At 36.1% G+C, this 17,356-nt stretch overlaps 1 pseudogene and 1 further gene, besides 2 other annotated features; one reads left to right on the top strand and one right to left on the bottom strand.

The window, feature by feature from the left end:
- The window catches only part of IGK (immunoglobulin kappa locus), a 1,378,008-nt gene that overhangs the window by 45,381 nt on the left and 1,315,271 nt on the right, over window positions 1-17,356 (top strand).
- On the bottom strand, window positions 12,339-12,937 carry IGKV7-3 (immunoglobulin kappa variable 7-3 (pseudogene); annotated as a pseudogene). The gene is given in 2 exon segments: window positions 12,339-12,646; window positions 12,889-12,937. Coding segments are annotated over 2 exon segments (357 nt in total).
- Window positions 12,636-12,646: a sequence feature (IGKV7-3 leader sequence).
- Window positions 12,889-12,937: a sequence feature (IGKV7-3 leader sequence).

Raw genomic sequence — 17,356 nt, forward strand, 5'->3', positions numbered from 1 at the left:
ATTTATGTTTAGAGGTTAGCTATTAATCTTATTCTTGTTTCTTCAAAATGAGAGAATTTTTTCTGATTAAGATTTTTTTGTTTGATCAGTAGATAGTAAAGTGTGACATTATTTATACAACGTAACACTACACAACAAAAAAGATTAATAAATTGCAACAACTTGAATTTTTACAGTAAAATTAAAATGACACATATCTATTACCTAAAACACATCTGAGAAGCTAATTTATAGAAATAGAAGTATGCATGTGTAAAGATATAGGTAAAATTGTATTAACAAATCCATTGATTATATTAGCAAAACCTGAACATAATTTAATTGCCCTTCAGTAGAAATGTTTGAATAAAGTATAGGTTTTCTACACAATCCAAAATGTGATGATAAAGAATAGGTTATATTTTTCATCTCTTGATCTGGAGATAATCTCTTTAGAAATGTTAAACATAAATTCCCAAAAATGTTAATTTATGAGCCAATATTTGAAAACATAGAAGCAGAATTATGAAAAGTAGTAATTTGTCTTTTCTATCTTTACAAATATGGAATCATTTTACATCTTGTGGGGTTACAATGAAGAAAAAAAGCAGTTATGACAATGGGAAAAATGTATGCGTAACATACAGCAATGTTCACAGAGATGAATGAAGTTATAGTGACAAATGAAAAATGTAAAAGGCAATTTGATTTATATTGAATATATATATGTCAGGAATATGGAATGAGAGGAGACAGGTAAACACAATAAAAACTCTGACCAATGCCTGAAATAAGGATATTACAGAAATAAAACAATGCTATTTAAACATCTAAAAACAGCATAATAATCACCAGAATTAAAAAAGATCCTGTAGATGTGTGTTCATTCATAGAAAGATGGAAGTCCCTACATTATTATTAATATTTTCACCATCAGAGAAATAGGGTGCTACTCAGAAAAATATTTTTTAAACAATTGACCTAAATCATATCAAGTAATGAGATATTTCTTGAGTCCAGGCATGATCATGTAAATGCATGTTGGTTAAATCCTTGGACTTGTAATGCACATTACAACTTTCAGAACTCCTCTCTGTTTAGCATTTATAGGAGACCTTCTGACTACATCAAACTTCATCTAATCACATTTTACCTGCACTGAGAACTTTTGGTGGGAAGTGAGATGGAACGCCATAGTGTCATTGCATATTCAGACCCCAAGAGGGAGCTGAGAGATCATGCCTTGAGGAAGTGATTCTGAAAGAGTCCCCACAGTGGAGGATTCCAGAGCTCTGTGTGATAACATTGCCTATCCACTGACCCACGCCCTCCCCAAATGTGCAAAGAAAGTCCAGCTGCCAGAAGCCCTTATCAGTGTGCAGATTCCCCATAATCAACACTCCTTTGCATCCACCATATCTGTAGGGGAAGTGCAGTTCCAGGCTCAGCTCCTCAGGTGTCTTCTACCCAGGTGAAAGTCCAAGGTAGATCAGTCACAAAATCAGTGCAATTTTAAAATTGCTTTATTAAAGTACAGTGTCAAACCATGAAAAGCACCTATTTTAAGTGTGCAAATCACTGACTTATGGTAAATTTGCAAAGTTGCAGATAACCACAGTTTAATCTTACAACATTTTAATCATCCCCTGAAGGATCCCTTATGCAGACCGGCAGCTATTTTTATTTCCACTCCCAGTCTCAGGCATGTATTAATCGACTTTCCCTCTATTGATTGCTTGATATGAACATTCTATATAAATGGAATAATGCATGCATGGTCGTTTCTATCTGGTTTCTTTCCATTAAACGAAGTTTAGGTTCATCCCTGTTTTAGCATGTATCAGTAGGCCATTCCTTTTTATTTTTGGATAGTATTCCGCTGTACGGATATATCACATTTTATTTATCTATTCACAGGTTGAGGAACATTGAGGTCCTTTGCACTTTTTGGTTATATGATGATCAACAATGCTGCTATGAATATTTGCCTGTAAGTCTTTGTGTGGACACCGGTTTTGATTTTTCTCAGACAGACCTCTACAAGTGGAAATGCTGAGCCATATGATAAATTTCTGTTTATTTTTTAAAAACTGCCAAACTGTTTTCAAGAGTGTGCAGCATTTAACACTTGCACCAACAGTGTATGAAGCCTTCTTTTCTGTCACATTCTCACCAACTTTTGTTATTGTCTGTTTTTTAAATTATTAAAATCATTATAGTGTATATGGAATGGTGCCTATTGTGAATTTAATTTGATTTTTGTTAATGACTAATAATGTTGAGCACCTTTTCATGTGATTACTGTCTGTTCATATATCTTCTTCCATAACATCTATACTAAAATATTTTGTTCATTTTTAAATTGGGTTGTCTTATGACTTATATATTCTGGAAATATGGCGTGTATCAGATAAATGGTTTATAAATAATTTCTCTGGTCTGTGGTTTGTCTTTTCATTTTCTTAATGGTATCCTTTGAAATGCAAATGTTTTGAACATTAATGAAACCTAATATATTAGCATTTTCTTTCATAAGTTGAGCTTTTGATGTTGTAACTAAGAAATATTTGGTGAACCCAGAAATGGAAAAGTTTTAACCTAAAGTTTTTATAATTTCAGATTTTAGGAATGGGCAGAAGCTGGAAACATTCCCCTTAAAAACTGACACAAGACAAGGATGTCATCTCTCACCACTCCTTTTCAACTGAGTATTGGAAGTTCTGGCCAGGGCAATCAGGCAAGAAAAAGAAATAAAGTGCATTCAAATAGGAAGAAAGGAAGTCAAACTATCCCTGTTTGCAGATGACATGATCCTATATCTTGAAAACCCCATCATTTCAGCCCCAAAGCTTTTTAAGCTGGATAAGCAACTACGGCAAAGTCTCAGGATACAAAATTAATGTGCAAAAATCACTAGCATTCCTATACACCATTCATACATTCCTATACACCATTCATACATTCATACAGCATTCCTATACACCAACAACAGTTATTCCGAGAGCCAAATCACGAACTCCCATTCACAATTGGCACAGAAAGAATAAAATACCTAGAAATACAGCTGACAAGGGAAGTGAAAGATCTCTACAAGGAGAACTACAAACCACTACTCAAAGAAATCAGAAACAACACAGACAAATGGAAAAACATTCCATATTCACTGATAGGAGTAATCAGTAACATTAAATGGTGGCTATACTGTCCAAAGCAATTTATAGATTCAATGCTATTCCCATTAAAGTACCACTGACATTCTTCATAAAACTAGAAAAAAACAATTTTAAAGTTCATACGGAACAACAACAACAAAAAAGTCCTGAATAACCAAGGCAATCGTAAGCAAAAAGAACAAAGCTGGAGGCATCACACTACCCAATTTCAAATTATGCTACAGGGCTACAGTTATCAAAACCACATGGTACTGGTACAAGAACAGACACATAGACCAATGGAATAGAATAGAGAGCCCAGAAATATGTCCTCACACCTATAACCATCTGATCTGTAATAAAGTTAACAAAAACAAAAAATGGGGAAAGGACTTCCTATTCAATAAATGGTGCTGGGATAACTGGCTAGCCATGTGCAGAAGATTGAAACTGGACGCCTTTCCTTAAGCCAGATACAAAAATCAACTCAAGATGGATAAAGTATTTAAATTTAAAACCCAAAACTATAAAAACCCTGAAAGACAACCTAGGCAATACCATTCAGGACACAGGCACAGGCAAAGATTTCATGACGAAGATGCCAAAAGCAATTGCAACCAAAGCAAAAATTGACAAATGGGATCTAATTAAACTAAAGAGCTTCTGCACACCAAAAGAACCTATCAACAGAATGAATAGATCCCTACAGAATGAGAGAAAAATTTTTCAAGCTATGCATCTGACAAAGGTCTAATATGCAGCATCTATAAGGAACTTAAACAAATTTACAAGAAAACAATCAACCCCATTAAAAAGTGGGCAAAGGATGTGAACAGACACTTCTCAAAAGAAGACATACAAGCAGTCAATAGTCATATGAAAAAAAGCTCAACATCACTGATCATTAGAGAAATGCAAATGAAAACCACAATGAGATACCATCGCACACTAGTCAGAATGGCTGTTATCAAAAAGACAAAAAATAACAGATGCTGATGAGGTTGTGGAGAAAAAGGAATGCTTATACACCATTGATGGGAGTGTGAATTAGTTCAACCATTGTAGAAGAGAGTGTGGTGGTTCCTCAAAGACTTAAAGTCAGAAATACAATTTGACCCAGCAATCCCATTACTGGGTATATACTCAAAGGAATGTAAATCATTCTATTCTAAAGGCTCATGTATGAGTACTTTCATTGCAGCACCATTCGCAATAGCAAAGACATTGAATCAACCCAAATGCCCATCAATGATAGACTGGATAAAGAAAATGTGGTACATACACACCATAGGATACTATGCAAGCATAAAAATGGACGAGATCATGTCCTTTGCAGGGACATGGATGGAGCTGGAGGCCATTATCTTCTGCAAACTAACACAGGAACAGAAAAACAAACACTGCATGTTCTCACTTATAAATGAGAGTTAATGATGAGAACACATGGACACACAAGGGGGAAAAACACACACTTGGGCCTATAGGAGGGTGGAGGGTGGGAGAAGGGAGAGAATCAGGAAAGATAACTAATGGATACTAGGCTTAATACCTGGGTGATGAAATAATCTGTACATCAAACCCCCATGACACATGTATACCTATGTAACAAACCTGAACATCCTGCATATGCACCCTTGAACTTAAAAGTTAAAAAATAAAATAAGATCTCTGATCTATTTTGATCTAGTGTGCATGGCAAGAGATCAGGGCCTAAATTCGTCTTTTCACCTATAGATACCAATTGAAAATCTATCCTTCCTCCCATTTAATTTCCTAGGCATTATTTTAAAAAATAACTTACCAAAAATGTAAAGGTTTATTTCTAGATTCTCAATTCCATCCTACTGATCTATAAGTTCATTTTTGTGCCAGCACCATCTTGTCCTGGAAACTGTAGTTTATAGTTGTTCTCTGCTTTATAGTATAGGCGATCCTTGGACAACACTGATATAAGCTGTGCAGGTTCACTCATACATGGATTTTCTGCCACATCTGAAATAACAAGACCAATCTCTCCTCTCCCTCCTCCTCAGCCTACTCAATGTGAATACGATAAGGATGAAGACATTTATAATGATCCATTTTCACTTAATGACTAGTAAACATATGTTCTCTTCTTTATAATTTTCTTAAAAACATTTTCTTTTCTCTACATTACTTGATTGTAAAATACAGTATATAATACATATAACAGTCAAAATATGAGCTAATCAGCTGTTTATACAATTGGTAAGGCCTCCAGTCTACAACAGGCTATCAGTAGTTAGATTTTTGGGGATTCAAACATTATACATACATTTTCTATTGTGCACGGCGTCTGTGCCCTTAACTCCCACATTGTTAGAGGGTCAACTGTACATTTTGAAACTGGAAATTTTATGCCCTCCAACTTCAATTTTCTTGAAAAATTGTTTTGGTTATTTGAAGTCTTCTGAATTTTCATATAAATTTTAGAATCAGTTCACCAAATTCTATAGCCTACTGGGATTTTGACTCAAATTGTGTTGAATCTGTAGATCACACTGGAGAGAATTATCATCTTAATAATACTGAATCTTCCAGTCCATGAACATGAAATGTCTCTTCACTTATTTGGATCTTCTTTAATGTCTCTCAGTAATGTTTTATAGTTTTCAGCATATCTCTTACTTTTTTGTTAAATATATTCAGAAGTATTTTCTTCTTATCAATGTTTGTTCATTGTCTTTATGCTTTATTTTCAAGTTAGTGATCCACAGTAGTCAATCTTATTTGTGTATTCTGTATTTGTGAATTTGCCTGCCTGCTAAAATTTAATACAATCCCAAAGTCAATACATAGAGTGCTTTTATTCTCATTTGTGGACATGCACAGAGTGGCAAAAAAATTGAGCCACTGAACACTCATGTTCCCAACTGAGGTTTAACAAAGCCACACTCTTCCATCTTGTTTCACTTCTCATACTGTAAACAAGTGTCCTTTTGCTCAATTTTGCTCTTTATGTTGGTAATTTTGTGGTTATAAATGTTCCCCAAATATAATAATGCTGAATTGCTGTTTAATGTTCCTAAGCACAAGTCTGCCATGTGTCTTACGAAGAAAATATGTGTGTTAGATAAGCTTTGTTCAGGCACAAGTCATAGTGCTTTTGGCCATGAGTTCAATGTTAATAAATCGTGTGTGTATGTGTGTGTGTGTATGTGTGTGTGTATAGGAAAATGCCTTGTTTTATTGCACTTCACTTTGTTGCTCTTTGAAGATACTGTTTTTTACAAATTGAAGGTTTGTAACAGCCTTGGGTTAAGCAGGTCTATCATCACCATTTTCCCAAAAGAATATGTTCACTTTGTGTCTCTGTATCACGTTTTGCTAATTTTCACAATATTTTAAATTTTTCATTATTATATCTGTTAGGGTGATCTGTATTTAGTGATCTTTGATGTTACTATTATAATTGCTTTGGGGAACCACAAAACACACAAACCACACTTACTCGATAAATGTATGTGTGGTGACTGCTCCAGTAACTGGCCGTTCCTTGTTTTCCTCTTGTCGGGCCTCCCTATTTCCTGAGACACGATAATATGAAGATTAGGCTAATTAAGAACTTTATAATGATCTGTAAGTGTTAAAGTGAAAGAAAGTCACATGTCTCTCACTATCAATCAAAAGCTAGGAATGATTAGGCTTAGTGAGCAAAGCATGTCAAAAGCTTAGATAGACCAAAAGCTAGACCTCTCGCCCCAGTTAGCCAAGTTGTGAATGCGAAGAAAAAGTTCTTGAAGAAAGTTAACAGTGCTACTCCAGTGAACACATCACAAATGTCTAAAAAGCAACATAGCCTTATTGCTGATATGGAGACAGTTTTAGTGATCTGGATAGAAGCTCAAACCAGCCACAACATTCCCTTAATCCAAAGCCTAATCCAGAGGAAGGCCCAAACTCATAGAATTTATGAAGGCTGAAAGAGATGAGGAAGCTGCGGAAGAAAACTTTGAAGCAGCAGAAGTTGGTTCATGATGTTTAAAGAAAAAAAGCCATCTCCATGACATACAAGTGGAAGGTGAAGCAGCAAAGTGCTGATGGAGAACCTGCAGCAAGTTATCTAGAAGATCTAGCTAGAAGTATTAATGAAAGTGGCTACACTTAACAACAGATTTTCAATGTAGATGAAACAGTCTTATGTTGGAAGATGATGCCATCTAAGACTTTCATAGCTAGAGAGGTTCCTGGCTTAAAAGTTTCCAAGGACAGGCAGACTCTGTTATTAAGATAATGCAGCTGATGACCTATGTTAAGTCGAAGCCAATGCTCATTTACCATTCTGAAAATCCTAGGGCCCTTAAGAATTATACTAAGTCTATTTTTCCTGTGCTGTATACATGGAACCACAAAACCTAGATGACAGCACATCCGTTTAGAGCATGGTTTACCAAATATTTGTTGAGACCTACTGCTCAGTAAAAAAAGATTTCTTTCAAATATTACTGCTCATTGATTTACAATGCACCTAGTCACTGAAGGGCTCTGAAGGAGATACACAAGGAGATGAATGTTGTTTTCATGCCTGCTAACACAACATTAATTCTTCAGCTCATGCATCAAAGAGTAATTTTGACTTCCAAGCTTTATTGCTTAAAAAATACATTTCATAAGGCTAGAACTGCTGTAGATAGTGATTCCTCTGATAGATCTGGGCGAAGTAAATTAAAAACCTTCTGGAAAGGAGTCACTATTTTAGATGCCATTAAGAAAATTTGTGATTCATGGGAGCTGGCCAAAAGATCAGTATTAACAGAAGTTTGAAAAAAGTTGATTCCAACCCTCATGGATGATTTCGAGGGGTTCAAGACTTCAGTGGAGTAAGTAAATGAAGATGTGTAAAATTAAAAGAGAACTAGAATTAGAAGTATAACTATGTAACAAACCTGCATGTTCTGCACATGTGTCCCATTTTTAAGAAGAAATAAAGAAAAAGAAAAGAAGCGGAGCTTGAAGATGTAACTGAATTGCTGCAATATGACAGTAAAACATTAATGGATGAGGAGTTACTTCATACGGATGAGCAAATAAAATAGTTTCTTGAGATGGAATCTACTGCTGTGAAGATGCTGTGAGCAAGGTTACAATGACAACAAAGGATTTATAATAGTATAAAAAAATTTAGTTGATAAAGCAGCAGTAGGGCTCGAGGATTGACTCCAATTTTGAAGGAAGTACTACTATGGGTAAAGTGCTATCAAAAAGTATGTCATGCTACAGAGAAACCTTTAATTAAAGGAAGATTCAATCAATGCGGAAAACTTTATTGCTGTCTTATTTTAAGAAATTGCCACAATCTCCCCAACTATCAACAACCACCACCCTAATCAGCCAGTAGCCAACAGCATTGAGATAAAATTCTCAACCAGCAAAAAGATTACTCACTGAAGGCTCAGATGATTATTACCATTTTTTAGTAATGAAGTATTTTAAATGATGTACATTGTTTTTAAAACGTAATGCTATTGCACACTTAATAGACTACAGTATAGTATAAACATAACTTTTATATATATGCAGAAACCCAAAAGTTTGTGTGATTCACTTTATTGTGATATTTGCTTTATTGCAGTGGTCTGGAACCAAATCTACAGGTATGCCTATATGTATATGCCTATATTTAAGACTTTATGAGATATATATAATCTGTTTAAGATACTCATACAAAAAGTTACCTATTGATCAGTTAATGAAAATGTGACCATAGGCTCATAGGAACATAAACCAGTACTACCACTAGGACCAATGGTTCAATATTTGTTAATTCAGCGTTTGTGACTTTACAGATATCTGTTGAAACATAACAAAATGTAACTGTACATGGAGATAAAATTTATTTCTGCATATTGCATATCTTATTGTGTGACTTTGCCAAAGTTGTTTATTACTAGTAGATTGTATGTGTAGTGGTGGGGGACATGTATTCCTTATCATTTAATATACATACAGGATTATATTTTCTGTAATTAAAATACTTTTACTCTTCTTTTAAATATTGATATACTTTATTTTTCATTTTTTTCTTGCTTGATTGCTTGACAAGAACATCCAGTGCAGTGTTGAATTGAGTAGCAAGAGTGAATATCCTTGTCTTGTTTATGACATTAGAAAGAAGGCATTCTGTCAACTTTAAGTAGATGTTAACTGTAAGTTTTTCATATATATCCTTTATAAGGTAAAGGAAGTTTCCTTCTATTACAAGTTTGTTGAGAGCTTTTGTCATAAAAGAGTTTTGAATTTTATCAAATATCTTTCTCCGTTTATTGAGATGATTACATTTTTTATATTTACTCTATGTGGCATATTACTTTATTGATTTTCAGATGTTAATCTATCTTGCATTGTTTAATAAATCCCATTTGTATTATGGTGCATAATCATTTCTATATGCTACTGGATTCTATTTAGTTATATCTTTTGATAATTTTTTCACATGCATTAGTAGGGGATATTGGTCTATGGTTTTCTTTCCTTGGAATGTCTTTGCTTGGCTTTGGTATTGGGGTAACACTGGCTTCATAGAATGAGTTGGGAAGTATTCTTTTCTCCTATGTATACTGAAAGAATTTAATGAAGATTGGTAATATTTATTCTTTAAATTCTTGATAGAACTCACCAGTGACGCCATGTAGTCTCAGTTTTTCTTTATTGGAAACTTTTTAATTTCTTCACTTGTTATGGTTCTATTCATATTTTCTATTTGTTTTTGAATTAGTTTTGGGTTATCTCATCTAAATTGCCTAATTTAATGACTTATTATTGTTCATCATATTCTCTTACAGTATTTTTAAAGTTTCTGTAGGATAGGCAGTTGTACCCCTTATTTCAATCCTGATTTTAATAATCTTGGCCTTCTCTTTTTTTCTTCAAGAGTCATAAAGATTTTTAATTTTGCCAATCTTTCCAGAAACACAACTTTTGCTTTCAATGATTTTCGTCTTTTACTTCATTGATTTATACTCTATTTTTAAAATTATTTTCTTCCTTCTGCTTGCTGTGAATCTCGCTGGTTCTTCTTTTTCTAGTCTCTTAAAATAGAAACTACCCAATTGGTTTTTAGATATTCTTTCTTTCTTTACTATACAGGTAATTACAGGCCAATATTTATAAAATTATTTATTTATTTCAAATCTTCCACTCTATAGATGAAACCTTCACCACTTCGTCACTCAGGAAGCAACAGGAGAAACATGAGAAGCTGGGATGAAAACACCATTTTGAGGAATCTGTTTGTCTGATGCTGGTCAGAACCTATTACCAGAGGAAGCTTCCTTATTTAATCCCCTTAGGACAGGGGCCATTTGAGAGAAAGAGAATAAAAACAAACAAAACACTTAGGCAATATGACAGTTTTAGTGGACAACCCTAGGTTGGCCCCATGATACAGAACCACTGGTGTTCCTAACTGTGTAATTCCCTCTTCTTGAGTCTGGGCAGAATTTTTGACTTCCTTCTAGCATACACAATATTGCAAAGGTGAAAGTATTTTGCAGATGCAGTAGTCCCAAATCAGTTGGGTTTGAGTTAATCATAAGGGAGATTATTGTGAGTGGATCTGACTTAAGCAGGTCAAAGCCATTAAAAGAGGAACTGAGCTCTCCTTGTTACCAAGAAATTATCCTAGCTGGTTTGATTATTAGTAGCCCATGTGGCAGGAAACTTAAGATGTTCTCTAGGAGCTTAGGGTGATCTCCAGCCAACAGCCAGCAAAAAGCCAGGACCCTCAGCCTTAGAGTTACTATGAAAACAATTCTGTCAACAACTTGAATGATCATGGAAGCAGACTCTTTAAGTCCCTGGATGAGAATGCAGCCTGGTCAACACCTTGACTGCAGCCTGTGAGACCTTGAAGAGAGGACCCAGATAAACTCTGCCCAGGCTCCCGACTCATAGAAACTGCATGTGAATTATAAACGTGTATTATTTTAAGCCACTAAGTGTGTGATAATTTGCATGGGCCAACAGCCAACTAATAATAAAATTTTATATGTAGTGAGATAGGGTTACAAGGGTTACAAATTTAGAAACCAATGTAAATCTTATTAGACTGAAATGCTGCAAAAGCCTATTTTGCCAGAGTTTCTCTGCTTGCTTTGTGGAGGATGCAGAAGACTGACGGAGGCCAAGGTAGGGATGGAGGGGCACATAATCACTAATCTTTCCATGATTGTGACTATGCACACCTGCATTTCTGGAGTCCACTCTGCCTGTAGTGTTAGAGCAATTAGAAAAGCAAAAAGAGAAGATGAGAAAAAAAACCTTAACAATGGACATGGAAAATATCATAGAAAAAGGACATGACCTGTAATCCCAGCACTTTGGGAGGCCAAGGCAGGTGGATCATGAGGTCAGGAGTTCGTGACCAGGCTGGCCAACATGGTGAAACCCCATCTCTACTAAAAATACAGAAATTAGCTGGGCGTGGTGGCAGGCACCTGTAATCCCAGCTACTTGAGACATTGAGGCAGGAGAATCACTTCAACCTGGGAGGTGGAGACTGCCGTGAGCCAAGATTGTGCCATTGCCCTCCAGCCTGGGTGACAGAGTGAGACTCTGTTTAAAAAAAAAAAAAAAGAAAAGAAAAAGGACATGAACACTGCATGAAGAGTAAAGGACAATTTATTAAAACTAGAGCTGAGAATCTAACTTTTGGGAAAGTCACCGAGATAGAGACATCTAAATTAAATAAGCAGAGATAACTACCTCACAAGTCTTAGGTTTCTAAATAACTAGAAAAGCCTTTTCATGTGGGTTCAGCAAATAAAAGTGGAGAAAAGTCAAAATTCAGGTGAGAAGGTCACCTATATCTGAAAGATATAGAGCTAATAATTTTGACTATTCAGAGCATTTTTTAAAATGACTACAAAGTTTTCTTAATGTTTAAAATTCTTCTATTGGTAAGGGTCTTTGACATAAAAAATATACATTGAGAAGTAGAAAACTTCTGAGAGGTCCTGATACAGTAAAGAAATTATTAAATTATAAAACTGGCTGTGACACACATGCATGCACACACACACACACACATCAATTTAAGGATTTTCTCTTTGATAATTTGACCCCTTTGTTCAAACAAGCCTATGACAGCAGGCTGATGGACCTGCATAAAAAGCCACATCTGAGGGATTTGAGCCTCAGGGAGCAGCTGCCTGGGGAGGTTTTTGTTTAGACCTAAAGCACTGTGGGAGGAAAATTCTTACTCTGCAGACAGTAATAATTTGCAGTATCATTAGCTTCCACAGGATTAATTGTGAGGGTGAAATCGGTCCCAGACCCACTGCCGCTGAACCTGGCTGGGACCCCAGTGTCTTTATTGGATGCTTGGTAAATCAGGAGTTTAGGAGGTTGTCCTGGTTTCTGCTGATACCAGTGAATTAAGTTTATTCCCAAGAAACTGACACTCTCACTGGCTCTGCAGGTGATGGTGGCCCTCTGTCCTGGAGACACGGCCAAGGAGGCTGGAGACTGGGTCAGCACAATGTCCCCATTGCAGCCTGAAATGATAAAGACAGATAAATTATATCAGATATACTGAGACTGTCCCCATGTAGGCCATGCATTGGTGACACTTGTAACCACAGTCATATGCAACATCTTGAGTAACCAGAAAACAAAAGATAACTGGGGAACTTACAACCTACAATGAGTGCCCTAAATCCAACAACCAAGAATCCAGAGACACAAAAAACAATGATGGCCACATGAGTTTGCCCGATGTTTCCCTATACCCCCTCACTTGGAGCCCAGAGCAGGAGGATCCACAGCAAAGGAGCCCCGGACCCTATCTCTGAGAGCTGAACTAGAGGCTGCTCCTCAGGGGCCCTGACAAGCTGTCTTTAAGGATGCTCTGAGAAGCTTGGACCGTTGTCTAATGGCCCAACATGCAAATCAGCTCAGAAAAGTTTGAGTTGATGCTCAAAGGGGACACCTGCTCTTATTTCACCCAGTGGGAGTTGGGGCTAACAAAACATTTCCTAGGGTAGCTCAAGCATGTCCCAAGGGATTTGGTGACCTTTTCTATTGGATCTTTGCCTGCCAGTCTACTTGAGATGCCATGTGGAGGAGTGTACTGGGGCTGCCCTGCCATTTGGATATAAGTTATTTCAGAAATACTTTTGATTTTTCAAAATTCATATTTTATATCATTATCAATAATAATGCATTTTAAGTTATCATTGTCAGAAAGAGAAAGCAAGTTGGGTGGGTTTTATGAAACTGGTTCATATGGGAAGGAGAAGTTTGTTCCACTGAGTAAGTGGTATTTAAAACAAGTCTATAAATGTTATCATGATCTGGAAAGGATGAAGGGGGTGAGCATGAAACCTTGATGAAGACTGGTAACCTAAACTAATCAAGGAACTTGCCTCATTGTGGATAAGGCAGGGTCTCTCCATCTGCTTAGTCCTGAAACCAATGCTGTATCCACCAGAGGCCCTCAGAGGCAGAAGAGTCATTGTAGTGGATCCTATTCAGAGTGGAGAATAACCATCCCCCAACTCCCACTGGTTCCATCTGCCTTGCCACTGGAAGCTGGGGCTAAGGAAGTCCATCTTCTCCTACAGCAAGATATGGTGTCCACACCAGTCAGCTGGCACTCTCACCCATCCATAGGTGAAGGTTTTCCCCCAACAAAACCAACTTAAAATGTCTGGAAGAAGGGACTGCATCTTCAAATGTGCAGACACCAACACAAGGCTACAAGGAACATGAAAAGTCAGGGAACATGATGCCAACCATCACTTCTCTATGAGCTCCACTCCAGGACTCTATTCTGTTACTTGTGATGGAGTTCAGGGCCAGAGAGGTCCCACTATACTGCTTCCAACTGTGCGCTTGGGTCCCTGATTACTCAGTTATATTTTTCATTGATGTTAACATGCATATTAGCTCTAGTTAACTAAAAGTTTTCTTTTATCACTCTGGGAATTGTTTTTATGCTTTTAAATTTTTATTTTATTTGATTTCAACTAAAATAAACTAGTGGCTTCCCAAAGGATCTAGGTAGAACTAAAATAATGGTCTTTCTACACCTTAAATCTACATTTTTATAAACAGCTGAAAATGAACAGCTGAGAATTACAGCTACACCTTAGGGCAAAGGAGATGAAGAGCGGGAACTTAGATTAGTGTGGTGAGTTTGAGTGGAAAGTACTATACCCTCTTGTTTTTCCTAAATGATTAAATTCTGCTTACCTAGCTCTATTCCCCTAGAAGAAAGCAGGAATAATGGAATTTGAGTATTCCTTGAAAAAACAAAGAACATTTTCAAGAAATTTAAGAAGTTTTCAAACTTTAACCTTTCAGATGTCTAGTAGATATCTCTGGAAAACAGGGCAAGCATCAATTTGTGGATTGAGAAGAAAGATAAAATATTTCAGAGGAGCCAATATGCCATGAGAAAAGTCCTGAAAAACTCCCCCTGAACCCTTGGAACTTTTGTGCCATGATTAGGGTTGGGACAATCCCTGAGCTTTGCCCCCTCCTACAACTCTGGGTGGAGGAGGACAGAAGTAGAGGTGGGAAGTAAAAGGGGTGAAATTTGCATTTTTTTATTAGGCCACCTAGATGACCGATCATTAAGAAGGCTCTAGAAAATAGAGACAAACTTGACCACTTTAAGTTGTTCACTGTCCCATCCTCTGTCTTCTACTCTTTCTCCAGCAACCAAGTGATAACTACTACACACAACCTGCAAGGATACAGTCCTCAGACTCAGATCTGGGGTGGAGGTAGGGAAGGTAATAATAAAATGCACCCACATGTGTTTGGAGCAATCAAGAAATATTGAACTATACCATATTTTGGCAAATAAAAGACTTGGGTAAAGCAACCCCATCAAGGATAAGTAATTTGAAATGAAATAATACTGAAAATTACAAATATACCATGGGAGAGGGCTATATGACTGACAAAAATACATAGCAAGTAAATAATAAATTAGATAACTCTTCTGAAAATGATGTACTCTAGTAAAACAAAAGTATTTTCTGCAGCAAATGATTGTAAATTTAGAAGACACACCAAAAAAAAAAAAAAAAAGAAAAACACTTAAATTTATTTTCAAGGATGAGATAGCAAGAAAATAATAGGTAAAATAAATGTGTCTGGTTACAGGTACAGGATTAAAAAAGTAAAGCAGAACTAGTAATTTTAACATAGAAAAAATGTAATAAGGCAAAGAAATAAATGGAGTCAAAGACACATAAGGTAAGCTTAGTAAAGGGATAAAGTTCAGAAAAAAAGGCAAAAAAAATTACAGATAATTATAGAAAGGATAGAAAATAGGCACCCAATATACATGGATAATTGATGTGTTTTAATTATGGAATTTAATAAAATGGCATATGAAATAAAATGTAATAACATAATGACCAGAATGTCAATATGTTTAAGTGAAGATATGTTAAAACACCCCACCATAACATATATGTGAATTACATATTTATTAAATACAGAAATATTAAAAGATAAATCTATAACAAAGAATTTATATGAATATATATCTGACTTTGTATTTAAAGAGACTATTTATAAGCCAGAAGAAAAAGGAATTCTAAAAGAAACAAAAAAATATAAAAAGAAAGCAACAGAAGCCTAATATAAAGTTTCTAAGTAGAAGTTTTAAATCAATGTCAAACACAAAATTATACACTGAAGAAAATCAATACATGTAAAAATAAAAGTAAACTATAAAAATCAAAGACATCTCACAAAATGATGAAGAAAGCAAATTTAAATTAGAAAAATAATCCATAAAATGAAAAATTAATAAATTGGACCTCATCTAAATTGAAGTTTTTGATCTGAAAAAAAATCTCTATTAAAGGGATGTAATAAATTGAAAGTGGACTTGTGTAATTTAGCAAATGAACTCTTGAGCAATTATCTCAGAGAAATAAAACATTATTATACAGAAACTTGTACACAAATGTTCACAGAAGCTTTATTTATAGTAGCTAAATCAAGGAAATTACCCAAATGTCTTTCAGTAAGTAAACAGTTAAATAAACTGGGGTAATCCGTATTATAGAATACATTCAGAAATAAAAAGCAATAAACAATTGATATACCCAACTTTGATGAGCCTGAAGGGTATTACGCCAGTGAAATAAGCCAATCTCGAAATGGTACTTATTGCATGATGTCTTTTATGTGGTGTTTGCCAAGGGTTAAGGATGGGGTAGAGAAGGTGAGTGCGGCTATAAAAGGGTAACACCAGGAGTCGTGTGGTGATGATTTAGCTGAATTTCTTGATTACAGTGGTGGTTATAGAAGGTCACATAAATGATTCATTCACATCGAGCTACACACACATAAACACAATCACATAAACAAACAAAAATTGTGTGCGTGCGTAACTTGTGAAAACTGAATAAGTTCTATGGATGACACCAATGTTAATTTCCTGTCTTTGGTATTGTACTATAGTTTGAAAGATGTCAACACTGGAGGAAGTTGCCAAGATGTATGAGACTTCTGTATATTTCTTTGCAACTTCCTGTGAACCTATAACTATGTTATAGTTAAAAAATAAAAAGTAAAAAAAATCTTAAGCTTTATTACTTGAAAACCTTGAAAAAAATGAATTGCCCTTTTTCTATCAAATGATTGGCAAAAAAACTTAAAGCCTTATGCCTCCCTCTGCTGGTGGGAATGGAGAGGGATTGAAAAGCCATACTTTGGTGGTTGCAATGTGGATTTCTACTGTTTCCTAAGTAATCTCTGCTCACTATTGGAGTGAAATTTAAAATACGTACACTTGTTGGCCCAAACTTACTACTAAGAAAATTGCCTATAGAACTAATAACTCCGTGTTGTCTAAGGAAACATCTGAATGCCTATCAGTAAGAGATGGCTAAATATATTGTGCTATTTTCATATTATGAAAAATTATGGCTGCCTCTGCCTCTGCCCCTCTGCCCCTCTGCCCCTCTGCCTCTCTGCCTCTGCCTCTCTGCCTCTGCCTCTCTGCCTCTCTGCCTCTCTGCCTCTCTGCCTCACTGCCTCTGCCTCTGCCTCTGCCTCTGCCTCTGCCTCTCGCTCTCCCTCTCTGTACGGTGTCCCTCTGATGCCCAGCCGAGGCTGGACTGTACTGCCGCCATCTCGGCTCACTGCAACCTCCCTGCCTGATTCTCCTGCCTCAGCCTGCCTAGTGCCTGGGATTGCAGGCGCGCGCCGCCACGCCTGACTGGTTTTCGTATTTT

Source organism: Homo sapiens, chromosome 2 (assembly GCF_000001405.40).
Source record: "Homo sapiens chromosome 2, GRCh38.p14 Primary Assembly".
Taxonomy (NCBI): Eukaryota; Metazoa; Chordata; class Mammalia; order Primates; family Hominidae; genus Homo; species Homo sapiens.